This window comes from Homo sapiens, chromosome 13, assembly GCF_000001405.40.
Source record: "Homo sapiens chromosome 13, GRCh38.p14 Primary Assembly".
NCBI classification, from domain to species: domain Eukaryota; kingdom Metazoa; phylum Chordata; class Mammalia; order Primates; family Hominidae; genus Homo; species Homo sapiens.
The window spans coordinates 90,827,366-90,855,247 of NC_000013.11; the positions used below are offsets into that span (position 1 = coordinate 90,827,366).

The following is a 27,882-nucleotide window of genomic DNA, read 5'->3' on the forward strand; positions in this document are numbered from 1 at the left end:
GTAAGATACTGTCAGGATATGGATTAAGAGTTACACAGGTTAGATCAGCCTGGTTTTCATCACCATCCCAAGATGCATGACAACTTTAAATGCATCTATGGTGTTGAACCCCAACAAGTGAATCTTGACAAAATTCTCAATAAATTGCTCGAAGAGATTAGGCCAAATAACCACAACCCCATACATTGAAGAATGTGGGAGGAATCCACTCATATTTCCTTTACTAGTTAAAAGTGGATTTCATTGTACCTAAGAGAAAAACAGAAATAACTACGAAATCATCTGGTAATTTAACAAGATAGAGGATTATTTCTCTAACATAAAATCCATAGCTTTTCTGGTCCAAGAATGATACAATGTCCACTCTACAAAATCATCAGGAAACCTATGTCTCCTTCTAGCTCTCTGCTTTGCTATCCAAAAGGCTATAGCCCTCATCTTCATGGTCCAAGACCATGACCAGTAACAGCAACGGCTGGAGAATTGTCTTAGTTTCCTTGGGCTACCATACAAAGTACCATAGACTGATGGGTTTAAATAACAGAAATTTATGTTTTCACTGTTATAGAGACCAAAATTCTCAGATCAGAGTGTCAGTATGGTCAGGTTCTGATGAGAGCTCTCTTCCTAACTTGTAGAAGGCTGCCTTCTAAATGCATGGTGAAGTCGGGGGATGAGAAGAGAGCAAGCTCTCTTGCATCTCCTCTTACAAGAGCCTAACAGCATCATGAGAGCCCTACACTTAGGAGCTCCTCTAGACCTAATTACCTCTTAAAGGCCTCATGTCTAAATATCATAAAATTGAGGGTTAGGGCTTCAACATATTAATTTGTGGGGTTAGGAGTGGGTAAGGCACAATTCAGTCTCCAGTAAGAATGCAATTTCTGATTTGGGTGAATGCACTCACAGTCAAAGAAAAAAATATACAGAATAAAATTTTAGGGGACATCCTACAATCTCAGCAGCTAAAAAATGAACTACACTGATTCTGGAAGTACTGGCTTCCACACACAAGATGGCTGAAATCCTAACAGTTAAAACTGTGCCCTTCCAACAAGTCTTCGATCTGATGTAAGTGGTCCCCAAACACAATGATCAGGAAACTGTTGCCCATGACCAGATATGGCACGTTGTTTACTTTTGTAAGTGAAGTTTTAATGGAACATAGTCATGCTCATTTGTTTTCTTTTTGCCTGTGGCTTTTTGTGTACTACAGCATCAGTGTTGAATAGTGCAACTGAGATGCTTTGGCCCATAAAGGCAAAATTTGTCCAGCCCTTTAAAGAAATATTTTTCTACTCCTACCCTAAAGTATACTTTACAGGTTTGTGAATCTCAGGAGATGGCACAGAATGAGATTTGTGTGTGTATTTATTGTACAGTGTGGTCAAAATTTTTATCAAGTTCTCAAATTATATGTGACCTGCTGATCACTGGAAAAAGTTTGTAAAACCCCTATAAACCTTGAGGGAATACTGGATAAGAGATTCACTTACTTGTAAGAACATGCTGATATAGCTAGAAAAAGACAACTGGCGTGTGAACTAATCAAGGAACTGTTTTGGTGTCATGCAGATTAGTGCCATAAAAGTAATCTATTATCAAAAAAATTGAGTTAGAATGTCATGCGAGAACTGGGACTTCATAGAGCCATTTGACGCCTTTGAAAATTTGTCTGCAAATATTGACATTTTACATTATTAACTAAAGCTGCAAGAAAACTCACTAGCAACCCTACTTCTAAAAGTATTTTCAATTGCTTTTGGATCACTTTACCATTTCAAACATTCATGGAAAAAACATGATATAAAAATACTTTTTTGTAGCTACACTTATTTTAAATAATTTGCAACTAAGGCTGTTCTCTAGCCCCCATTCTTTTTCTTTTGTTTTTAGTGACATAAGGCTTTATTCACTGGACTTTCTGCCTGAATTTAAACAGCTTCATTTTTCTATAAAGGCAAGATTCATATGGCTGTTTCTTCTTTAACAAGTGGCTTAAACTATTGAAATGAGAGATGCCAATATTGCCATTTCTTAGAAAATATGATCTATGTCCTGATTATTTCAAAAAAATTTCAATTGGCTGTGCTCTAGAAAGGCATGTAGTGTGATAACATTAAAGTTCAAGAAAGCAAGGTAAGGCAAGGTCAGGTGTACTTTTTTTTTAATTCATAAGCCTTCTTAAATTTATTTTAAGCTGGCATGAAGGGAGGTATTAATAGGTCAAAAAGATTAGGCCTTTGCCTGCTAAACATCTAAAGATCATTAACATAAAACTTACATTAAAATTTGTCATTTCTGTGGTATGGTAGGCCAATCTTTCACTTTTATACAACAATCTCTTAACACCTTGAATTTGCATAACTTATAAAACTGTTTTTAAAAGTGATTTCCCATCTATTAATTCACAGCCACCCCATGAGCATGGCAATTATGCTTGCTTTTTATGGATTACATTTTTGATGTCCAGAGAAGTTTGGTCTGATAGAAACGTGACTTGATGAACCAAAACTTCTAGTACTGCACTTTTCTCCTAAACTACGCTCTTAGAAAATGCCTGTATGTATGTATATAGAGTAACAAAATAATGGTCACAAACTACATAAATATATGCATTTGCCATCCTTAGGAAACAGAAAATACATTTATTCATTATAGATTCAGCCTTATAAACAAAGAAAAAGTTCAACTTACTGAGTTACTTACTGAATTCCAAGTTTCTTAACATTAACTTGTCCCAGTTATTAAACTAGCATAAGTAATTTATGATATCTGGGTCATTATGATTGAACAGATATATGAAGAGTTTAAGTTCAAATAGTTATTTCTTCTAGTTTCTATTTACTCTTAGTGAGCATCTGATTTTATTCTGTGTCTTCACTCTTCCAAGTATAACCATTGTTGATGGAAAGAATGAAAGTCACCAAAAATAAATGTGATCATGATAGAACCACTAGGATGAATATGTAAATCAGATCTATGTAAACAGAGGCTTTCCTTTAAGTAGCTGAGCTATGGCGACCTTGTTTTCTTTTTAATTCCTCTTTCCAATTAAATTTAGTAAGTATATAAAATAGCATTTCTATGCATGTTAGGAGAATAAGGTCAATTATATAATTAACAACCACTGAGGATTACAGAACCTTGACATTGCTTTTAGTAACTTTAACAATTTGGAATCAGTCTGAATTCAAATCAACAATCTTATAAATAAGTCAGCTCTGTTCCATTTTCTCTTAGCATTTTTGTCATTATAATCATTGTTTGTTCCTGCTAAGCCAATAACCAAAAATACTTCAGCTATTTGGTTTTCTGAGTAATTCAAAGATGTGTCAACTAATTAGGCTATTTGAAAATACAATTGTAATTAAAACAATATGTACTGAGAGGGTAATGTCGTGATGTTTATGGGTTTTAGGACACCTGTGAAGTCACTGGAAATCTGTAGCACAATGGGATTCTGCATAATAAAAATGTTAGAATTTACAAAATGTCATCAAATGCTCGTGGCCCACTTCTATAAAAAACATGAATAATTCACAATGCTATATATGGAATTACATTTTGCTGCCCCAATTCCATTTAAATAAATGTGTTTATGAGTCACCAATTTCATTTTCCTCTACTTCTAAGTGGTGACCTTTCACTTATGAGCTGAAAAGCAATCAACTCTGGGTATAGAATAAGAGAAAAGAAAATAAATTTAAATATTTATAGTAAACATTTATGGTGGTGTGTGCACTAATGATTCTAAACGCATTTTTGTTTAGAGAAAAAAGATGTATAAAATCCATTCACTCCACAAATATTTATTGAGAAGTTACCACATGCCTATTCAAGCATGTTATGTGGTTTCAATGAAAATTAGACAATACAATATGGGACAAAATATAGAAAATAAAATAATATCCAAGGCACTTTATCTTCTCATATTTTTAAAGCATGAATTTACACAGAGAATGATAACTGAAAATATGTAGTGATTCTTCCAAATTTCTACCTACCATTTATTTATGTATTCCACACAGTTATCAGCAAATATTTATTAGAATGATTTGACAAGATATATACTCAAAACAGGGGTAATTGTAAAAACAATTTTAAAACTCAAAATATAGCTTATCACTGATTGTTATCTATTGTTTTTGTCCCCATATTTTATTTTCTTTGAAAAACTATCTCAAATTCCCCCCAACTCCCTCTCTATCCCAATTTATTCTAGGGCTCATATCAAAAGCAACTCTATATAATGCTCTGCAACTTTGCTGGTACATCCATCATAGAACTGATTTCTCTATACCATGCATATTTACATGGCTGTTATATGCTCTATAATATCAGAATAAGCTTTTATTCCCTTGATCCCTACATTGCTTGAGCAATATTTTGTACATGATGGATATTCAATTAATGTATGTGAAGTCCCATGTACAAAAATCTGTGATGACTATCCATTGTCTACTGCATTTGACTTATCTAAGCAAACCAAGCCTTCAACAGCCTGGCCCCAGGCAATCTTTCAAGCTTCATCACAATCACTCCACTTCACACTTTCTAAAATCCATGGACAGTATCAATTGTCTTACACTTGCTCATTTCACTTCTCTCAAGCTGTTTTAATCTGTCTTGAGTATCTGCTTTCCTATTTAATTGCCTGGCTAAATCCATTCATACCTCAAGGCCCAATCAGTTGTCACCTGTTTTCTAAAGCACTTATTGAAAGACACCCATGACCTAAAGTACCTCTCCTCTCAACATTTACAAGATACTCTGTTGAATTGGTGTGAAGACACAGCCTCACATTGTTAGTTAGATCCTGTCCTTTTCTCACTAGTTGTGACTCTTGGATATATTTTATAATATTGAAGAGATAGAGTTTCTTCATTTGCAAGTCAACTTTATAGGACAGGGTTATGGTGAAAGTTCAATAGTATTAAAATTATGAAGTGCCAATTTCAGTATTGACAGCAAGTAATCAAGTATGCAATCAAATTTAGGTCCCATTTCACCAAAAGTGAGGCCTTTAGAGCTGATACAACAGTCACCTCTTCTTTTCATCGTGTAAACATGGTTGAGAGCCAGTTTGGGGGTCAGAATACCTGGGGGCAGATCACAGCTCTGCCCTTGAAAACTCAGGCAATTTATTTAACTTCTCTATGCCTTGAACTTTTGATAAGTTTATTGTGAAGATTAAATTAACATTTATAAAACCTCTGGAAAAGCCCCTAATGTACAGCAATTGCGAAATACTAGCTATTATTGTTCTTATTAATTACTTAAACATAATATCACCTTATTAACTATTCTGTATTAATCAACACTTTTTATATGCAATTTTATAAAACAGTAACTCAAAATAATTTAGTGGAATGGAAAAAAAGGGAAGAGGGATTCCTGGGCTTGGGAAAGACAGTGGGGGTGATCACAGGGTGGAAGGACCTCTGCTAATTCTACTTGGATTCAATGCCACCATGATACAATGTGCACCATTTTCAGTATACTTGCTTCTTTTTTGTTCATTTTCTTTTTTCATCCAGTGTTACGTCTTGCCTTTATTTCACCGATTGTGGACAAACCTCCAAGTGTCAGGAAAAGTATTTTAGGCAGCTATACTTTATTGCAGTCCAAGAGAAAAAATTAAAGTTCTTTCTCTCAGGGTCCATATGCCAACACCAAAGAAGAGCTCATATTTCCACTTTTCGGATCGATCTCCGTTTGCTGAGGAATGAAATAATCTGATTGTCCCGGTCCGATCATGGTGCTGAGTTCTGTTATTTTCAGTCCTTCCAGAACAATGTAATATTAGGGATGAGTACTTTTAACAAAAAAAGGAAAAAGGGATTCTGTTTAGGCAAAAACAGTAGATGTCTACTACATCTGCTTTCTAGAACAGAGAACAACTTGGAATGGAGAGAGCAAAGCCACCCTCATGATAAAGGTGGTAAGATACTTTTTATTCTCACTACCCTTCATGCAGGGCACTGTTTCTCCATGCTGAGCAAAAATGGTCATTGATCAACAGATATTGGTATAGGGTTCAAATAAAGAAATTTCTGAGAGCATACTGTGATGTGTGTTATGCCAAGGAGGAGACACTTGGCAACAGAATTGATGGTGGTATTATAACAGGAAAAGGAAACATGTAAGGAAACTCATTGAAGGCTTCCGAATTTGATCACTTGCCAGTTGTGTTTGCCTCATTCTGGTGAAACACAAGTATATACATGCAGCTCCTCATTGTTTTAATATTTCTGATAAATTTGATCATAATCACATTTGTTCTGTCTAGAAGAAAATTCACACAGATAATATTCCCCCAAATTGGAGAATTTTGAAAGAGGAACATCCTAGCCAGTGTTAAAACATGTCACACAAAGAAGGAGGATATCCAACAGGTATTGCATCAATATAAAGGAAATAATGCCCAAAAAATGTTTTAACAGCACTGTGGGCTTTTTTTTAAATTATAGTAGATCACGTGTCATTATATTTCTTAAAACAGGCACTCAATAAATGTGTTTTGTAAGGAGAATTTATTTAATTTGGCTCTCAATATAGACAGAGCAATTGAAAAATAGAATCTGATAATAAAATGGGTGGCAGGTATATCTGTAGAAATTCTGCTACATTTCCTAGTGTGAAATGTAATTTATTCTGCTGGAAGCATATCACATTAAACCAAAGGAAGTCTGGTATAACCTAGGTTGTAATTCCCTGTGAACATTGATTTGCTGCAGTAATTATCTCCAATTAGGAAAGCAACAATAAAAGTCCTCATGTTCTTATCAAGGATTCATGTTGACAGTTCTCCCATTGGGAATGGCCATGATGGTGTTCAAATTATAACTGTGACTATGGACAGTGTAGGTATGTTTTATTTTAGAAAACACCAGACTTAAAAGACTATAATATACAGGAATTGTCCTAATTCTATCAACCTGTTCCCAGGGATCTCATAACAAGGAACTATATAGGTGCCAAAGATTGTTGCTGGTTGAGTAGTGGTTTTGGCTGCTGAACCTGGGCAGTTGTAGCCATCTGTTCCTCAAAATTGTTTTTAGAAATATATATAAAACAATTAGCAAGTTGGATTTCTACAGACTAAGCCAAGAAAATGCAATTCTGTTGAATTGGGTGCAAAATAATTTTCATTTTAGATAAAAGAGAAAATAGAATGGAATTTGTCAGAAGCTATTGTAGGTCAAAATTTTTTGACCTACAATTATAGGCAGAAAAAATTTGAAAGAGAGAGGTAGTGTTCTTAAAACTATGTAGGTAGTGAAAATACTTTGATACCAGTACCAAAAAAAAAAAAAATACTTTGATACCTCTACCAAAAAAATAGAACACAGAACAATAAAAAAGAACAAGGCTGAAGATGTAAATAAGGCAGTTTCTGTAGTATTCACATTATGTTCCCCAGGACACATTGCAATGAAAAGTCTTTATAAGAAGATTCAGTAATGTCACTTGTGAGTCATACTTCATACTGAATAAGGAGACAAAATCATTGAAACAAGCTAATAAAATTCAGCCCATTTACAAACAAAGTATGACGTGTAATCCAATGTAAATCTGTGGGACAGAACGTACGTGGCGGCTGGTACTAACTTTTATGTCATACACCACTTCGGATAATGAACTACAAACTGAATGCTGAAGAAAAACCTTGAGGATATAATAATAAGCATCTTAAAATAAAAGAGAAAAAGAGAGTATGAGAGACAGACTAGCTACCCAACAGATACGTAGATAATACAGAAGGTACTATTAGGCAAAGGTGCATAAATCAAAGCCCAGTGGACAGTAAACCCTAATGTACCAAGAATCAGTGGCCTTGTACCTATATGGTGTGGATGGACAGTTGGCTTATCAGGTTTCTCAGACACAATAGTGTATGTAAAAATGTCACCGCTGTAGCCTTTTTTGAAATCAGTTAACAAATTGTATTTAGGGTATTTCTTACTGTGAAAGATCTACTTCCTTAAAAGCAAAGCAAAGCAAAGCAAAGGAAAAGAAAAAAAGTATGTAAAGTCAGTTTCTCTAATGCCCAAAGAGTTATTTGGTTGGGCCCAATATTAGCAATAAACTGTAGAAGTATAGAAGTGGATTTCTTGTTATATGTTTATATGGTTAATTCTAATTAATATAATAGATATAGCTAAAATATTTTTTAAATAAATTGTATCATTGTTTTCTCTCATACTTCTCAGGAGCATTTCAAGATATTAACAAGTAGCTTCTTTTTTTCCTTTTTTTTTTTAACATTAAGATGACTGAATATGTTTTTCATTAACTGTGGCTGATGGACACAGTTTATCAAACCAACTCTTGCTATTTAAATAAAGGAACTATATAAAGGAACTTCCTATATAAAAAAACTAAAAATTTCTCAAGATCCTGGCACAACATTTATAAATATCTGCCTATTCTGTATCTATGCCCTCATATCATGTTTTAAAAGAATATGCCAAACTGAAAACAAATTGAATTGTATAGGTCCACATTATAATTAAATTTTGAAAATTATACTTAAATCCTAAATAGGTTATCAGTGTGTTAACAGATAAAATCTGTTGGATAGTATATAACAATGATGACCTTAAAACATTTATCTTACATGTTTCTGCCACTTAGGACCATGTTTAGAATAATTAATCCCTAAATTCATGCAATCATCTTGCTTCTGGATAAAGTCACCACTTATAGAGACTAAACCAAATTAGATAATGAAACAAATTTTTTTCACTTAAAAGTTTTTAGCTTTCTGTTTCTCTGGACACATATCTGTGTTTTCAAATCAAGATGAAGAAAAAAACATAAATTGTTACAGAATATATTCAACATTAAATATTTTAAGACTATATTAATGAGAATCTAAGGTTTCCTTGTCAATTCCATATTTGGGGTAAATATATTTTTAGACAGCACCTTTATTTCTTCATTTCTACTAATCTTGTTCCCATATTTTAGCCTGAGCAACAATCTTAGAAAACAAGATTTATTTCCTCAGTTGAGAGCTGACTACCCAAGAAGATTTAAGAAATATTTAAAATTTCATGGCTGTAGTGACATATATATTAAGAAGAATTGTTGCTTTGTCCTAAATGTATATGATAGTCATTGTATTAGTCTGTTTTCATGCTGCTGATAAAGACATACCTGAGACTGGATAATTTATACAGGAAAAGGGGTTCATTGAACTTACAGTTCCAGTGGCTGGGGAGGCCTCACAATCATGGCAGAAGGCAAGAAGGAACAAGTCATATCTTACATGGATGGCGGCAGGCAAAAAGAGAGCTTGTGCAGGGAAACTCCCGTTTTTATTTTATGTTATTTATTTATTTATTTATTTATTTATTTTTGAGACAGAGTTTTGGTCTTGTTGCCCAGTCTGGAGTTTAATGGCATGATCTTGGCTCACTGCAACCTCTGCCCCTGCCAGGTTCAAGCAATTCTCCTGCCTCAGCCTCCCAAGTAGCTTGGATTATAGGCATGTGCCACCACGCCTGGCTAATTTTTGTATTTTTAGTAAAGACAGGGTTTCACCATGTTGGTCAGGCTGGTCTCGAACTCCTGGCCTCAGGTGATCCACCCACCTCGGCCTCCCAAAGTCCTAGGATTATAGGCATGAGCCACCACACCCGGCCGGAAACTCCCATTTTTAAAATGATCAGATCTCATGAGACCCATTCACTGTCATAAGAACACCATGAGAAAAACCCGCCTCCATGATTCATCTCCCACTGGGTCCCTCTCAGAACAAGTGGGAATTATGGGAGCTACAAATCAGTCATTATATCAGTATCAAATCATATCATTATATCATTATATCAGTATCAAACCATTAAATCAAACCATATCAGTCATTATATCATTTGTAAAACCAAATAAGAGCTACTAAACAGAAATTGCGAAGTTATTACACTTTCAATTTCCTTACTACTGTTAGAGACTGTTAATCATTTAATTATATCAAAAATATTCTTTTCTTATCAAGACTATTCCATTATCTCTGGTTTCCTTCCTTATGTTGATGTACTTGAGATAATATGAGACAAATTACATTCTATAAAACAAAATAATCTTGATAAAATTAAACTTGAGTATATGAAGTAGCAGAGACACATAAAATCATTATATTCCCTCTAGTTTCAAAACTCTTAAAGTTGTCTACCCTCCTCCATTTTCAAACCCATTACCCTAGACTAAGCCAGCTCAAGGTGAAATGTATAAAATGTACTTAGAAAAGTTATTTCCATAATACTTATAATAAAATCTAAACTATTTCCTATGGATTACAAAAGAACCCTACCTGTTTTTGGTTTTGTCTATTGCGGACTGCATTTCTGATCATTTTTACCTCTCCTAGTATGTTCCAGCCACAGATGCCTTCCTTCTCCTCATCAAACACCCTACTTTTTCCAATCCAGAATCTTTGTACTAGCTCTTCTTTCCTCTTGAAATGTCCTTTACCCCTAATCTCTGCCACCCTCTTGTCCTCTTTCCAATCTCAGCTTCAAAATCATATTCTCAGAGGACATTTTGCCAATATCTCTCATCTAATGCTGCCATTTGCCAAATCATTCTCTATTATATAACTCTTTGTTATTTCTTACTATTATTTAACAGTCTCTAAAATTATAACAGTGTTGATTTATTTCTTTGTTAAATTTTCCAGACCTCCCCACCCCCAAGATAAAAAAGGTTTCATCTGTCTTGTTCACTATTGTATTCCTCATTGCTAGTACAGTGCCTGGCATATATTTTTTAATTTTTAATTTTTGTGGGTACATTGTAGGTGTGTATATTTGTGGGGTACATGAGATGTTTTGGTACAGGCATGCAATGCATAATAATCATACTGTGGAGAATGGGAGTATTCATCCCCAGAAGCATTTATCCTTTTTGTTACAAACAATCCAATTATACTTTCAGTTATTTTAAAATGTACAAAATATTGTTGACTAATAGTTACCATGTTGTGCTATCCAATACTAGGTATTATTAATTTTTTTCTAACTATATTTTTGTGCCCATTAATTATCCCACCTTCCCCCATGCCCTCAACACCTTTACCAGCCTCTGGTAACCAGCCTTCTACTCTCTAGCTCCATGACGTGCAACGGTTTTCATTTTTACATCCCATGAATAAGTGAGAATATGCAATGTTTGTCTTTCTGTGCCTGGCTTATTTCACTTAACATAATGACTTCCATTCCATCTATGTTGTTGCAAATGACAAGATCTCATTCATTTGATCACTGAATCGTACTTTGTGTGTATATGTACAACATTTTTTTTATCCATTCATCTGCTGATAGACACATAGGTTGCTTCCAAATCTTGGCTATCATGACCTGTGCTGCAACAAACATGGGAGTTCAGCTATCTCTTCAATATATACTCAGTAAATAGCTGTTGAATGAATCATTTAACATAGTAAATAAAACTGGAATTCAGGTGAGGTTCAATAGAAACTGTACAAATAGTATATGAATTTTGAAAAATCAGATAAAGAACACTGAAAAGAAGGGAAATGAGGATTTCAGGTGCAGGATTGCAGTCTCTCAACTTTTTATGACAACGCATAAAGAGAATAATATAAAAGATCAATATGTTGGGAGACAATTCTTTATAGGCTGTTTGCATTTTTGCAGTTCTTGTGGCAGCTTGTTTCTCCTAGACTATCTTTTCTAAGATATTTGCATAGGCATTGTCTTGAAAGATAAAGTGTCTCTATTTGGAACCAAGAGCAGATTTGTTTGCTCTTTAGGATAATACAGATAATGTTTCCCTCCAGGGAAAGGGCTGGGCAGGTTTGCTAGAAGTTCCCTTTATAAGAATGGACACCTCCTAACCTTGGAATTCCTCATCTGTGGCACAAATTTGTATATGCAACATCCACCTGGGCCTCACATTGACCCCATAGGCTTGCAGGGGAAGGAGAATGATGCAAACCTGAGCTCATGCTGCCTTCAGGGCCATAAGTAATAAAGTTCAGTATCTCTGACACAGGAATCTTGTATCTCCTGCCAGTATATATAAAACTGTGGCAGTCTAACCTGTTCAATTGCAAACAGAGTAAGTTTTCAGAATTTTCACAGTTCTTAACACAAGGATGCACTAAGCTGATGTCCCAAAAAAAAAAAAAATTAAAAGTGACCATATAGTTATAAATCTAATGGAAGTTACTGTCAGGCCTCTGAGCCCAAGCCAAGCCATCACATTCCCTGTGACTTGCACGTATACACCCAGATGGCCTGAAGTAACTGAAGAATCACAAAAGAAGTGAAAAGGCCCTGCCCCGCCTTAACTGATGACATTCCACCATTGTGATTTGTTCCTGCCCCACCTTAACTGAGTGATTAACCCTGTGAATTTCCTTCTCCTGGCTCAGAAGCTCCCACACTGAGCACCTTGTGACCCCCGCCCCTGCCCACCAGAGAACAACCCCCTTTGTAATTTTCCATTACCTTCCCAAATCCTATAAAACGACCCCACCCCTATCTCCCTTCACTGACTCTCTTTTTGGACTCAGCCCGCCTGCACCCAAGTGAAATAAACAGCCATGTTGCTCACACAAAGCCTGTTTGGTGGTCTCTTCACAAGGACACGCGTGAAATTTGGTGACGTGACTTGGATCGGGGGACCTCCCTTGGGAGATCAATCTCATGTCCTCCTGTTCTTTGCTCCATGAGAAATATCCACCTACGACCTCAGGTCTTCAGACTGACCAGCCCAAGAACCATCTCACCAATTTCAAATCCGGTAGGCAGCCTCTTTTTACTCTTTTCTCCAACCTCCCTCCCTATTCCTCAACCTCTTTCTCCTTTCATTCTTGGTGCCACACTTCAATCTCTTCCTTCTCTTAATTTCAATTCCCTTCATTTTCTGGTAGAGACAAAGGAGACACATTTTATCCGTGGACCCAAAACTCCAGCACCGGTCACGGACTGGGAAGGCAGCCTTCCCTTGGTGTTTAATCATTTCAGGGACGCCTCTCTGATTATTCACCCACGTTTCAAAGGTGTCAGACCACACAAGGAGGCCTGCCTTGGTCCTTCAGCCTTAGCGGCAAGTCCCGCTTTTCTGGGGGAGGGACAAGTACTCCAACCCCTTCTCTCTGTGTCTCTACCCCTTCTCTGATCTTCTGGGGCAGGGGCAAGAACCCCTCAACCCCTTCTCCTTCACCGTTAGCGGCAAGTCCCGCTTTTCTAGGGGGCAAGAACCCCCAATCCCTTATTTCCGTGCCCCAACCCTTTCTCTGCTTTTCTGGAGGGCAAGAAATCCCCACCCCTTCTCCGTGTCTCTACTCTTTTCTCTGGGCTTGCCTCCTTCACTATGGGAAACCTTCCACCCTCCATTCCTCCTCCTTCTCCCTTAGCCTGTATTCTTAAGAACTTAAAACCTCTTCAACTCACACCTGACCTAAAATCTAAGCATCTTATTTTCTTCTGCAATGCTGCTTGACCCCAATACAAACTCGACAGTAGTTCCAAATAGCCAAAAAACGGCACTTTCAATGTTTCCATCCTACAAGATCTAAATAATTCTTGTCGTAAAATAGGCAAATGATCTGAGGTGCCTGACGTCCAGGCATTCTTTTACACATCAGTACCTTCCTAGTCTCTGTGCCCAGTGCAACTCGTCCCAAGTCTTCCTTCTTTCCCTCCCACCTGTCCCCTCAGTCCCAATCCCAAGCGTCGCTGAGTCTTTCTAATCTTCCTTTTCTACAGACCCATCTGACCTCTCGCCTCCTCGCCAGGCCAAGCTAGTTCCCAATTCTTCCTCAGCCTCCGCTCCTCCACCCTATAATCTTTTTATCGCCTCCCCTCCTCACACCTGGTCTGGCTTACAGTTTCGTTCTGTGACTAGCCCTCCACCACCTGCCCAGCAATTTACTCTTAAAAAGGTTGCTGGAGCCAAAGGCATAGTCAAGATTAATGCTCCTTTTTCTTTATCCCAAATCAGAAGTGTTTAGGCTCTTTTTCATCAAATATAAAAACCCAGCCCAGTTCATGGCTTGTTCGGCAGCAACCCTGAGACACTTTACAGCCCTAGACCATAAGAGGTCGAAAGGCCATCTTATTCTCAATATACATTTTATTACCCAATCTGCTCCCCACATTAAACTCCAAAAATTGGAATCTGGCCCTCAAACCCCACAACAGGACTTAATTAACCTCACCTTCAAGGTGTACAATAATAAAAAAAAAGTTGCAATTCCTTGCCTCCACTGAGAGACAAACCCCAGCCACATCTCCAGCACACAAGAACTTCCAAACGCCTGAACCGCAGCAGCCAGGCATTCCTCCAGAACCTCCTCCCCCAGGAGCTTGCTACACATGCCGGAAATCTGGCCACTGGGCCAAGGAATGCCCACAGCCCGGGATTCCTCCTAAGCCACGTCCCATCTGTGTGGGACCCCGTTGAAAATCGGATTGTTCAACTCACCTGGCAGCCACTCCCAAAGCCCCTGGAACTCTGGCCCAAGGCTCTCTGACTGACTCCTTCCCAGATCTTCTCCACTGAATGGCTGAAGACTGATGCTGCCCGATCGCCTTGGAAGCCCCATAGACCATCACGGACGCTGAGCTTAGGTAACTCTCACAGTGGAGGGTAAGTCCGTTCTCTTCTTAATCAATATGGAGGCTACCCACTCCACATTACCTTATTTTCAAGGGCCTGTTTCCCTTGCCTCCATAACTGTTGTGGGTATTGACGGCCAGGCTTCTAAACCTCTTAAAACTCCCCAACTCTGGTGCCAACTTAGACAATACTCTTTTAAGCACTCTTTTTTAGTTATCCCCACCTGCCCAGTTCCCTTATTAGGCCAAGATATTTTAACCAAATTATCTGCTTCCCTGACTATTCCTGGACTACAGCTGCATCTCATTGCTGCCTTCTTCCCAATCCAAAGCCTCCTTTGCATCCTCCCTTTGTATCTCCCCACCTTAACCCACAAGTATAAGATACCTCTACTCCCTCCTTGGTGACCGATCATGCACCCCTTACCATCTCATTAAAACCTAATCACCCTTACCCCACTCAATGTCAAGATCCCATCTAACAGCACGCTTTAAAAGGATTAAAGCCTGTTATCACTCACCTGCTACAGCATGGCCTTTTAAAGCCTATAAACTCTCCTTACAATTCCCCCATTTTACCTGTCCTAAAACCAGACAAGCCTTATAAGTTAGTTCAGGATCTATGCCTTATCAACCAAATTGTTTTGCCTATCCACCCAGTGGTGCCAAACCCATATACTCTCCTATCCTCAATACCTCCCTCCACAACCTGTTATTCTGTTCTAGATCTCAAACATGGTTTCTTTACTATTCCTTTGCACCCCTCATCCCAGCCTCTCTTCGCTTTCACTTGGACTGACCCTGACACCCATTAGGCTCAGCAAATTACCTGGGCTGTACTGCTGCAAAGCTTCACAGACAGCCCCCATTACTTCAGTCAAGCCCAAATTTCATCCTCATCTGTTACCTATCTCAGCATAATTCTCATAAAAACACACGTGCTCTCCCTGCTGATCGTGTCTGATTAATCTCCCAAACCTCAATCCCTTACAAAACAACTCCTTTCCTTCCTAGGCATAGTTAGTGTGGTCAGAATTCTTACACAAGAGCCAGGACCACACCCTGTAGCCTTTCTTTCCAAACAACTTGACCTTACTGTTTTAGCCTAGCCCTCACGTCTGCGTGCAGTGGCTGCCACTGCTTTAATACTTTTAGAAGCCCTCAAAATCACAAACTATGCTCAACTCACTCTGTACAGTTCTCATAACTTCCAAAATCTATTTTCTTCCTCATACCTGACGCATATACTTTCTGCTGTACTCACTCTTTGTTAAGTCCCACAATTACCATTGTTCCTGGCCTGGACTTCAATCCAGCCTCCCACATTATTCCTGATACCACACCTGACACCCATGACTGTATCTCTCTGATCCACCTGATATTCACCCCATTTCCCCATATTTCCTTCTTTCCTGTTCCTCACCCTGATCACGCTTGATTTATTGATGGCATTTCCACCAGGCCTAATCGCCACACAACAGCAAAGGCAGGTTATGCTATAGTACGAGCCACTAGCCCACCTCTTAGAACCTTTCGTTTCCTTTCCATCGTAGAAATCTATCCTCAAGGAAATAACTTCTCAGTGTTCCATCTGCTATTCTACTACTCCTCATGGATTATTCTGGCCCCCTCCCTTCCCTACACATCAAGCTCGAGGATTTGCCCCCACCCAGGACTGGCAAATTAGCTTTACTCAACATGCCCCGAGTCAGGAAACTAAAATACCTCTTAGTCTAAATAGACACTTTCATTGAATAAGTAAAGGCCTTTCCTACAGGGTCTGAGAAGGCCACCTCAGTCATTTCTTCCCTTCTGTCAGACATAATTCCTCAGTTTAGCCTTCCCACCTCTATACAGTCTGATAACAGACCAGCCTTTATTAGTCAAATCAGCCAAGCAGTTTTTCAGGCTGTTAGTATTCAGTGAAGCCTTTATATCCCTTATGGTCCTCCATCTTCAGGAAAAGTAGAATGGACTAAAGGTCTTTCAAAAACACACCTCACCAAGCTCAGCCACCAACTTAAAAAGGACTGGACAATACTTTTACCACTTTCCCTTCTCAGAAGTCAGACCTGTCCTCAGAATGCTACAGGGTACAGCCTATTTGAGCTCCTTTTTATTAGGCCCCAGTCTCATTCCAGACACCAGACCAACTTAGACTATGCCCCCCAAAAAAACTTGTCATCCCTACTATTTTCTGTCTATTCATACTCCTATTCTCCATTCTCAACTACTCATACATGCCCTGCTCTTGTTTACACTGCCGGTTTACACTGTTTCTCCAAGCCATCACAGCTGATATCTCCTGGTGCTATCCCCAAACTGCCACTCTTAACTCTTGAAGTAAATACATAATCTTTGCTGGCAGGACTATGCTGAATCTCCTTAGGCACTCTCTAATCAGATGTTCTAGGTCCTCCCAATTCTTAGACCTTTTATACCTGTTTTTCTCCTTCTCTTATTCCATTTAGTTTTTCAATTCATACAAAACCATATCCAGGCCATCACCAATAATTCTAAATGACAAATGTTTCTTCTAACAACCCCACAATATCGCCCCTTACCACAAAATCTTCCTTCAGCTTAATCTCTCCCACTCTAGGTTCCCACGCTGCCCCTAATCCCGCTTGAAGCAGCCCTGAGAAACATCGTCCATTCTCTCTCCATACCATCCCCCAGAAATTTTCGGCGCCCCACCACTTCAACACTATTTTGTTTTATTTTTCTTATTAATATAAGAAGGCAGGAATGTCAGGCCTCTGAGCCCAAGCCAAGCCATTGCATCCCCTGTGACTTGCACGTATATATGCCCAGATGGCCTGAAGTAACTGAAGAATCACAAAAGAAATGAAAAGGCCCTGCCCCGCCTTAACTGATGACATTCCACCATTGTGATTTGTTCCTGCCCCACCTTAACTGAGTGATTAACCCTGTGAATTTCCTTCTCCTGGCTCAGAAGCTCCCACACTGAGCACCTTGTGACCCCCGCCCCTGCCCACCAGAGAACAACCCCCTTTGACTGTAGTTTTCCATTACCTTCCCAAATCCTATAAAATGGCCTCACCCCTATCTCCCTTCACTGACTCTCTTTTTGGACTCAGCCCGCCTGCACCCAGGTGAAATAAACAGCCATGTTGCTCACACAAAGCCTGTTTGGTGGTCTCTTCACACGGACGTGCATGAAAATTACCATTAGTAATGCCACTGATTGAATGGTTTTTAAAACATAACCCTGGGTTACACATTCCCTGTGTACTAAATCCAGTCAGCGACAATGACCCCTGCTTCTCCTATGGTCTGCTCTAATCTGAGTTTCAAAGCTCTATTGATCTTCACATTCATACTAGAATTCTTTCTTAGCAGGCCAGAGCTCGAACTAGGATCCTTTCTTCCCCAGATTCTCCCACCAACTCTACCTTTTACAATTTTCTTTTAAAAATCCAAAAAAGAATTGATATGAGTTAAATGTGTCAAATTTAGTAAAACTTTAAGCACTATGTCCAGAGCATTGCACACACACACACATATATATATGGCTTGTTAAATTTAAAATGAAGCATGTAAAGTTTTTTAAAGTAAAAACAGAATTTGGAAAGAATGAAAATTCTGCAATTATTAAGTTTTCTGAAGAAAATATTTGAAATCTGCTGGTGTTTGCTCAAGAAACATTTGTTAAATATCTACAAATTATATACCTATGTCACACCATGCATTTGCTCTGCATAGAAATCTGCAGATTACCTAATTCTTAAACTGTTCTTGCTGTCATGTAAATAGTTATTTACAGCCTTTCTAAGCTGAGTAGTGTTCTAGGTACTGGCCACTGGGCAATGCACAAAACAAATGCAAATGTCTGCTCTCCAGCAGTTTAAATTCTAGTGAAGTGATGGAATATAGAGCAGGGGAAAGGACAGTAAGGGTCCCAGATAATAAACAAATACATGAAAAACATGTAGTTTGCAAGAGGATGATAAGTGGTAGGGAACATTGGAAAGATAGATGCAATTTTATAATGAATAGTCAGGAAAGTGTCAATGAGTTTCACTGTCTAATGAATGAAACAGAATTTTTTTTTTTTTTCGAAACAGACTTCTAAAAGAATAAGTGCAATAAGTTTTCAAAAGTGCAGGATGACATCCCAGTTACCTTGTATTAGCTTGCTAGGGCTGTGATGTAGTTTGGGTATTTGTCCCTGCCCAAATCTCATGTTGAATTGTAATCTCCCGTGCTGGAGATGGAGCTTAGTGGGAAGTGTTTGGATCATGGAGGCGGATCCCTCATGGCTTGGTGCTGTCTTCCTTATAGTGAGTTCTCATGAGATGTGGTAATTTAAGAGTGTGTGGCACCTTTCCCTTCACTCTCTCCCCTTCTTCTGCTTTCCACATGTGATGTGCCTGTTCCCCCTTTGCCTTCTGCCATGAATGAAAGCTCTCTGAGGCTTCGTCAGAAGCTGAGCAGATGCTAGCACCATGCTTCCTGTAAAGCCTGCAGAACGTGAGCCAATTAAACCTCTTTTCTTCATAAATTATGCACTCCCAGGTATTTCTTTACAGCAATGCAAAAGCGACCTAACACAGGCTTCCATAACAAAATATCACAGATGGGATGACTTAAACATCAGGAGTTTCTTTTCTTACAATTTTGGAAGCTGGAAGTCCAAGATCAAGGTACTGGCAGGGTTGATTTCTTCTAAGGCCACTGTCTTTGGCTTGCCTATGGCTGCCTTCTCTTCGTGTGCTCACATGGTCTTTCCTTTGCGCTAATGCATCTCTGGTATCTTTCTGTGTATTTAACTTTATTAATCTGATAAGGGCTGGTCAGATTACACTAGGCCCATACTAAAGGCCTCCTTTTCACTTAACTGTCTCTTTAAAGGCCCTGTTTCCAAATATAGTCACAGTCCAAGGTACTAGAGGTAAGAACTTCAACATGCGACTTATGGGCCGGGTTGTGGGGAGAGCACAGTCCATAACATCTCTCTTAAAATTTGAGAGAGATAGCTGGGAATTAAAACCCTGATTTTATCTTCTTGCAGCCCTATTCTCTGAAGCATAGTGAATTATGTATCATAATTCCATGCTGTATGCTAAATTGCAGATAATATCTGGTTTTCAGAACTGTTTATTGTGAAGCCCTGAAGTTGCAGCTGCCCCAGGAGGAATGTGGCTTGACATATATTCCCAGAGAGGTTTGCTAACAAACATAATTCATGCTTGGTTAAGGGAAGGAGAGGTAGTTTCCCTCCCAGTCCCTGACCAACAGAGCACACCCAGTGCATGGAGTGGTCTGACAGCTGGCCTGATAGTCCAAGACCTCTCAATAGGACTGTTTGGCTATGAATGACAGTGCTGCCCGCTTTCAGCCTTTCAAATCAAATTATGATGACTGATGGGACCCCATTAAGTCTTGTGGGTCTTTTTGTTGACTCTGATTTCCAAAACAATTAATATTAAATTAGAGGCCAGGTAGAATGTGAAGCGGGAAGAGCAAGTCGTAACAAAGAGTTTCAACAAACTCTTTTTGCATGCATTTCATATATGTTCAGCAGGCACAAAACTATCGTCTTTTCAAAGATGACAGAGGCAGTGACATTAACGAAGCGTGAAAGTTTTAAACTACAACGAGCAGATTGGGAACTGCAAGGGTTTTAGTGTAGATAAAACATAGTCAGGGGCACAAATCAAGAGATTAAGGAGGAAAATAGGTGTTGAGACCATTGAAGGTTCTTTCAGGCTTACTAAGAATTTGTTTCCTATTTGGTAGTCATAGAATGTCAATTTAACTGAAATGCTTTACACTAAAGAATTTGATGATTAAATGCGTGTTTTTAAAAATGAATTCCATTGGCCAAATGACAGATGACTTTAAGTGCTTACTTCTTTACTGCCCAGAGATCTTTCAAGATCCCATTAAACCAAAGTACTAAAACTCAAAATATTTGTTTCATTGTGCCCTTTAGAAATGTGAACTTACAAAAGATTCAGTGCAGAAAACAAGAAAATAAACATGAAACATTAGTTCAAATGAGGTGTGCTTATCACATCAGGGCACTGGGTCTTAAACCTTGGTGTGCCTCCAATCTAGGGTAAATGAAGAGAGAGATTTTTCCATGGGTGTATCTGGAGATGTACGCATGTTAAAGCATAACAAAATTTGGGATTAATCAATTGTTCATCAGTGGGAGAATGGATAAATATTTGTGAAATGTTCATACACTTGAATCAGAGGTATAGAAATGTACAGAGAAGAGCTAAAAACACAGCGTGGAATAAAAAATTAAGTTGCAAGAATAAGTTGCTCTGTATTGACTGACAGCATTTATATAACTTTGTAAAAACATAATGAAACACATTACTTATAGAAACAGAATTTCAGTACAAACATGGTCTAATGGAACACTCATCAAATTCATCACATTGGTTCACTCAGAGTGGGAAGGTAGGGAAATGAACTTTAAGATAGGAAAAAAAGGGATTCTATTTTATTTCTAAACTATTGCAAAAATGACAAATATAAATATAGTTAATCCTAGGTCATGAGTATGCACTTCTGTAAATCTCTGTACTTTTCTAAAATTGTTTTCACTTTTTCAAATCATCTTTTAAAGAGACTTTCATGCTCGTGCATGTGAAGAGACCACCAAACAGGCTTTGTGTGAGCAACATGGCTGTTTATTTCACCTGGGTGCAGGCAGGCTGAGTCCAAAAAGAGAGTCAGCGAAGGGAGATAGGGGTGGGGCTGTTTTATAGGATTTGGGTAGGTAAAGGAAAATTACAGTCAAAGGGGGTTTGTTCTTTGGCGGGCAGGAGTGGGGGTCCCAAGGTGCTCAGTGGGGGTGTTTTTTGAGCCAGGATGAGCCAGGAAAAGGACTTTCACAAGGTAATGTCATCACTTAAGGCAAGGACCGGCCATTTACACTTCTTTTGTGGTGGAATGTCATCAGTTAAGGTGGGGCAGGGCATATTCACTTCTTTTGTGATTCTTCAGTTACTTCAGGCCATCTGGGCTTATATGTGCAAGTCACAGGGGATGCAATGGCTTGGCTTGGGCTCAGAGGCCTGACATTCCTGCCTTCTTATATTAATAAGAAAAATAAAACAAAATAGTGTTGAAGTGTTGGGGCAGTGAAAATTTTTGGGGGGTGATATGGAGAGAGAATGGGTGATGTTTCTCAGGGCTGCTTCAAGCGGGATTAGGGGCAGCGTGGGAACCTAGAGTGGGAGAGATTAAGCTGAAGGGAGGTCTTGTGGTAAGGGGTGATATTGTGGGGTTGTTAGAAGAAACATTTGTTGTGTAGAATTATTGGTTATGGCCTGGATATGGTTTTGGATGAATTGAGAAACTAAATGGAATAACAGAAGGAGAAAAACAGGTATAAAAGTTCTAAGAATTGGGACAACTCAGGATATCTGATTAGATAGTGCCTAAGGAGATTCAGCATAGTCCTGCCAGCAAAGATTATGTATTTACTTCAAGAGTTAAGAGTGGCAGTTTGGGGATAGCACGAGGAGATATCAGCTGTGATGGCTTGGAGAAACTGTAAACCGGCAGTGTAAACAAGAGCAGGGCATGTATGAGTAGTTGAGAACGGTGAATAGGAGTATGACTAGACAGAAGATAATAGGGATGACAAGTTTTTTGGGGCACAGTCTAAGTTGGTCTGGTGTCTGGAATGAGACTGGGGCCTAATAAAAAGGAGCGTCTATACAGGAGCTCAAATGGGCAGTACCCTGTAGCATTCCGAGGACAGGCCTGAATTCTGAGAAGGGAAAGTGGTTAAAGTATTGTCCAGTCCTTTTTAAGTTGGTGGCTGAGCTTGGTGAGGTGTGTTTTTAAAAGATCTTTAGTCCATTCTACTTTTCTTGAAGATGGAGGACCGTAAGGGATATAAAGGTTTCACTGAATACTAACAGCCTGAAAAACTGCTTGGCTGATTTGACTAATAAAGGCTGGTCTGTTATAAGAGTGTGTTGAGGTGGGAAGGCTAAACTGAGGAATTATGTCTGACAGAAAGGAAGAAATGACTGAGGTGGCCTTCTCAGACCCTGTGGGAAAGGCCTCTACCTATCCAGTGAAATTATCTACCTAGACTAAGAGGTATTTTAGTTATCTGACTCAGGACATGTTGAGTAAAGCTAATTTGCCAGTCCTGGGTGGGGGCAAATCCTCGAGCTTGATGTGTAGGGAAGGGAGGGGGCCTGAATAATCCTTGAGTAGTAGTAGAATAGCAGATGGAACACTGAGAAGTTATTTCCTTGAGGATAGATTTCCACGATGGAAAGGAAATGAGAGGTTCTAAGAGGTGGGCTAGTGGCTTGTACTATAGCATAACCTGCCTTTGCTGGTGTGTGGCGATTAGGCCTGGTGGAACCGCCATCAATAAATCAAGTGTGATCAGAGTGAGGAACACGAAAGAAGGAAATTTGGGGAAATGGGGTGAATGTCAGGTGGATCGGAGAGATACAGTCCTGGGTGTCAGGTGTGGTATCAGGAATAATGTGGGAGGCTGGATTGAAGTCTGGGCCAGGAACAATGGAATTGAGGGAGACTCAACAAAGAGTGAGTACAGCTGAAGGAGCCGGGGAGCAGAAAGTATATGCATCAGGTATGAGGAAGAAAATAGATTTTGGAAGTTATGAGAACTGTAGAGAGTGAGTTGAGCATAGTTTGTGATTTTGAGGGCCTCTAAAAGTATTAATGCAGCGGCAGCCACTGCACGCAGACATGAGGGCTAGGCTAAAACAGTAGGTCAAGTTGTTTGGACAGAAAGGCTACAGGGTGTGGTCCTGGCTCTTGTGTAAGAATTCTGACCGCACTAACCATGCCTAGGAAGGAAAGGAGTTGTTGTTTTGTAGAAGGTGCTGGGGTTTGAGAGATTAGTCGGACACGATCAGCAGGGAGAGCACGTGTGTTTTTATGAGAATTATGCCGAGATAGGTAACAGATGAGGAAGAAATTTGGGCTTGATTGAAGTAATGGGGGCTGTCTGTGAAGCTTTGCAGCAGTACAGCCTAGGTATTTTGCTGAGCTTGATGGGTGTCAGGGTCAGTCTAAGTGAAAGTGAAGAGAGGCTGGGATTAAGGGTGCAAAGGAATAGTAAAGAAAGCATGTTTGAGATCCAGAACAGAATAATGGGTTATAGAGGCAGGTATTGAGGATAGGAGAATATATGGGTTTGGCACCACTGGGTGGATAGGCAAAACAATTTGGTTAATAAGGCGCAGATCCTCAACTAACTTGTAAGGCTTGTCTGGTTTTAGGACAGGTAAAATGGGGGAATTGTAAGGAGAGTTTATAGGCTTTAAAAGGCCGTGCTGTAGCAGGCGAGTGATAACAGGCTTTAATCTTTTTAAAGCGTGCTGCGGGATGGGATATTGGGGTTGAGTGGCGTAAGGGTGATTAGGTTTTAATGAGATGATAAGGGGTGCATGATCAGTCACCAAGGAGGGAGTAGAGGTATTTTATACTTGCGGGTTAAGTTTGGGGGATACAAGAGGAGGATGCAAAGGAGGCTTTGGATTGGGAAGAAGGGCAGCAATGAGATGCAGCTGTAGTCCAGGAATAGTCAGGGAAGCAGACAATTTAGTTAAAGTGTCTCAGCCTAATAAGGGAACTGGGCAGGTGGGGATAACTAAAAAGGAGTGCTTAAAAGAGTATTGTCTAAGTTGGCCCCAGAGTTGGGGAGTTTTAAGAGGTTTAGAAGCCTGGCCATCAATACCGACAACAGCTGTGGAGGCAAGGGAAAAAGGCCCTTGAAAAGAAGGTAATGTGGAGTGGGTAGCCTCCGTATTGATTAAGAAGGGGACGGGCTTACCTTCCACTGTGAGAGTTACCTGAAGCTGGGCATCCGTGATGGTCTAGGGGGCTTCCGAGGCAATCAGGCAGCGTCAGTCTTCAGCCGCTAAGCCAAGAAGATCTGGGAAGCAGTCAGAGAGCCTTGGGCCAGAGTTCCAGGGGCTCTGGGAGTGGCTGCCAGGTGAGTTGGACAGTCCGATTTCCAGTGGGGTCCGGCACAGATGGGACGTGGCTTAGGAGGAATCCTGGGCTGCAGGCATTCCTTGGCCTGGTGGCCACGTTTCTGGCACTTGTAGCAAGCTCCTGGGGGAGGAGGTTCTGGAGGAACACCTGGCCGCTGCGGTTCAGGCGTTTGGAAGTTCTTGTGTGCTGGAGATGCGGCTGGGGTTTGTCTCACAGTGGGGACAAGGAATTGCAACTTTTTTCTATTATTGTACACCTTGAAGGCGAGGTTAGTTAAATCCTGTTGTGGGGTTTGAGGGCCGGAATTTAATTTTTGGAGTTTTATTTAATGTGGGGAGCAGATTGGATAATAAAATGTATATTGAGAATAAGACAGCCTTTTGACCTTTTAGGGTCTAGGGCTGTAAAGTGTCTCAGGGTTGCTGCCAAACGATCCATGAACTGGGCTGGATTTTTATATTTGATGAAAAAGAGCCTAAACGGTTCTGATTTGGGATAAAGAAAAAGGAGCATTAACCTTGACTATGCCTTTGGCTCCAGCCACCTTTTTAAGAGTAAATTGCTGGGCAGGTGGGGGAGGGCTAGTCACAGAACGAAACTGTAAGCCCGACCAGGTGTGAGGAGGGGAGGCGATAAAAAGATTATAGGGTGGAGGAGCGGAGGCTGAGGAAGAATTGGGACCTAGCTCGGGCTGGCGAGGAGGGGAGAGGTCAGATAGGTCTGTAGAAAAGGAAGATTAGAAAGACTCAGCGACGCTTGGGATTGGGACTGAGGGGACAGGTGGGAGGGAAAGAAGATTTGGGATGAGTTGCACTGGGCACAGAGACTAGGAAGGGACTGATGTGTAAAAGAATGCCTGGACGTCAGGCACCTCAGATCATTTGCCTATTTTATGACAAGAATTATTTAGATCTTGCAGGATGGAGAAATTCAAAGTTCCATTTTCTGGCTATTTGGAACTACTGTTGAGTTTGTATTGGGGTCAAGCGGCATTGCAGAAGAAAATAAGGCATTTAGGTTTTAGGTCAGGTGTGAGTTGAAGAGGTTTTAAGTTTTTGAGAACACAGGCCAAGGGAGTAGAAGGAGGAATGGAGGGTGGAAGTTTGCCTATAGTGGAGGAAGCAAGCCTCGAGAAAAGAGAGAGTAGAGAAACGGAGGGAAGGGGTTCAGGGATTCTTACCTTTCAGAAAAGTGAGAAAAGGGGTTGGGGTGCAGATATAAGAGTTCGGGGCACGGAAATAAGGGATGGGGTGCAGAAATAAGGGGTCGGGGCACGGAAATAAGGGGTCGGGGCATGGAAATAAAGGATTGGGGCATGGAGATACTAGGTTGGGGTGCGGAAATAAGGTATTGGACATTCTTGCCCCCTAGAAAAGCGGGACTTGCCGCTAAGGGTGAAAGAGAAGGGGTTGAGGGGTACTTGCCCCTCCCTCAGAAAAGCGGGACTTGCCGCTAAAGGTGAAGGACCAAGGCAGGCGTCCCTGCGTGGTCTGACACCCGTGAAACGTGGGTGTATAATCAGAGAGGTGTCCCTGCAATGATTAAACACCAAGGGAAGGCTGCCTTCCCAGTCCGTGACCGGCACCGGAGTTTTGGGTCCACGGATAAAACGTGTCTCCTTTGTCTCTCCCAGAAAATGAAAGGAATTGAAATTAAGAGAAGGGAGAGATTGAAGAGTGGAAAGGAGAAAGTGGTTGAGGGACAGTGAGAGAGGCTGGAGAAGAGAGTAAGAAGAGGCCGCTTACCTGATTTAAAATTGATGAGATGTTCCTTGGGCTGGTCAGTCTGAGGACCTGAGGCCATAGGTGGATCTTTCTCACGGAGCAAAGAACAGGAGTACAGGGGATTGATCTCCCAAGGGAGGTCCCCAGATCCAAGTCACGGCATCAAATTTCATGTGCGTCGGCGTGAAGAGACCACCAAACAGGCTTTGTGTGAGCAACATGGCTGTTTATTTCACCTGGGTGCAGGCGGGCTGAGTCCAAAGAGAGAGTCAGCGAAGGGAGATAAGGGTGGCACTGTTTTATAGGTTTTGGGAAGGTAAAGGAAAATTACAGTCAAAGGGGTTTTGTTCTCTGGCGGGCAGGAGTGGGGGTCGCAAGGTGCTCAGTGGGGGTGCTTTCTGAGCCAGGATGAGCCAGGAAAAGGACTTTCACAAGGTAATGTCGTCACTTAAGGCAAGGACCGGCTATTTACACTTTTGTGGTGGAATGTCATCAGTTAAGGTGGGGCAGGGCATATTCACTTCTTTTGTGATTCTTCAGTTACTTCAGGCCATCTGGGCGTATACGTGCAAGTCACAGGGGATGTGATGGCTTGGCTTGGGCTCAGAGGCCTGACAGAGACTTTTTTCCTCACCTGTAATCCCTTATAATTATATTATACTTTATACTTTGCCTGCACTTAATATATTTATTGCCTCATAACCTGCTTATGATTTAGATGGGAAAAAGTAAAGGTCTTTATTCTTAACTGAGTCTCAAAAAGGTGAAGTGCCTTACCCCAACATTTCCTTATAATTATTAAAAAATGAGATGGAAGTTCAGTCCCAGCATTTCTGACACTCAGGCAAGTGGTTCTCATTCTCCTGCAAGGGCTCTGTCTGCACTGTGAGAACTTCTACGGAACTCACCAGAATTGGCAAAAAACACTTAAATTTCAATGTGGCCCTTCTCTTTTCCCATCTCTACAATTTATTTTGTTCTAAATATAGTTGAGGGCCTGGGGCTCATGAATTTAGGTGATGTTTTATGATGCAGTAGATGAGGGTGAAAGCTGTGATTGGTAATGCCAGCTCTGCCACATTCTAGCATCCTGGACATTGACAAGCTACTTATATATGCTCTGCCTCAGTTTTCTTGTAGATAAGATTACAAAATAATAGTACTTTGGCATAAGATTATTGAGAATGAACTAGGTAATCCATAAAGTGCTTAGCATAGGTCCTATTAGAACTATCAGTGTTACAATTGTGGGATAATAGATGAGCATTCTAGTGTATAAATACACCAGGATAATAAGGAGAAAGTCTTGAGCTTAATCTCTGGGTAAGCTAGTTTATGCTGTCTGTTAAAAGCTACCCACATAAGATGGAGCAAAACACACATTCAGTAGATAGATTAGCAGAAACCCATATGCTGGTGCAATACAAAGCATACATGTAAGTGAATGTGAACTTCATTTTGTATACCTTTAAGAAAAAAATGACACTATGAAAAGAGGGAAGAAGAGGAGAGACAAAGGAAGTCACTCCACCTCTAAACAAAAGACAAAAGAAAATAAATCTCATTAAGTATATTGGCCAGTTGAT

At 40.0% G+C, this 27,882-nt stretch overlaps 4 annotated features.

Moving 5' to 3' along the window:
* Window positions 17,090–17,659: an enhancer, noted in NCBI's record as "NANOG-H3K27ac hESC enhancer chr13:91496709-91497278 (GRCh37/hg19 assembly coordinates)". NCBI's record gives its function as "activates a minimal SCP1, AML or CMV promoter by ChIP-STARR-seq in primed H9 embryonic stem cells {active_cell/tissue: H9 hESC(primed)}" and the evidence as "EXISTENCE:reporter gene assay evidence [ECO:0000049][PMID:30033119]".
* Window positions 20,888–21,638: an enhancer, noted in NCBI's record as "OCT4-NANOG-H3K27ac hESC enhancer chr13:91500507-91501257 (GRCh37/hg19 assembly coordinates)". NCBI's record gives its function as "activates a minimal SCP1, AML or CMV promoter by ChIP-STARR-seq in naive H9 embryonic stem cells {active_cell/tissue: H9 hESC(naive)}" and the evidence as "EXISTENCE:reporter gene assay evidence [ECO:0000049][PMID:30033119]".
* Window positions 21,639–22,388: an enhancer, noted in NCBI's record as "OCT4-NANOG-H3K27ac hESC enhancer chr13:91501258-91502007 (GRCh37/hg19 assembly coordinates)". NCBI's record gives its function as "activates a minimal SCP1, AML or CMV promoter by ChIP-STARR-seq in naive H9 embryonic stem cells {active_cell/tissue: H9 hESC(naive)}" and the evidence as "EXISTENCE:reporter gene assay evidence [ECO:0000049][PMID:30033119]".
* Window positions 26,317–27,057: an enhancer, noted in NCBI's record as "OCT4-NANOG-H3K27ac hESC enhancer chr13:91505936-91506676 (GRCh37/hg19 assembly coordinates)". NCBI's record gives its function as "activates a minimal SCP1, AML or CMV promoter by ChIP-STARR-seq in primed H9 embryonic stem cells {active_cell/tissue: H9 hESC(primed)}" and the evidence as "EXISTENCE:reporter gene assay evidence [ECO:0000049][PMID:30033119]".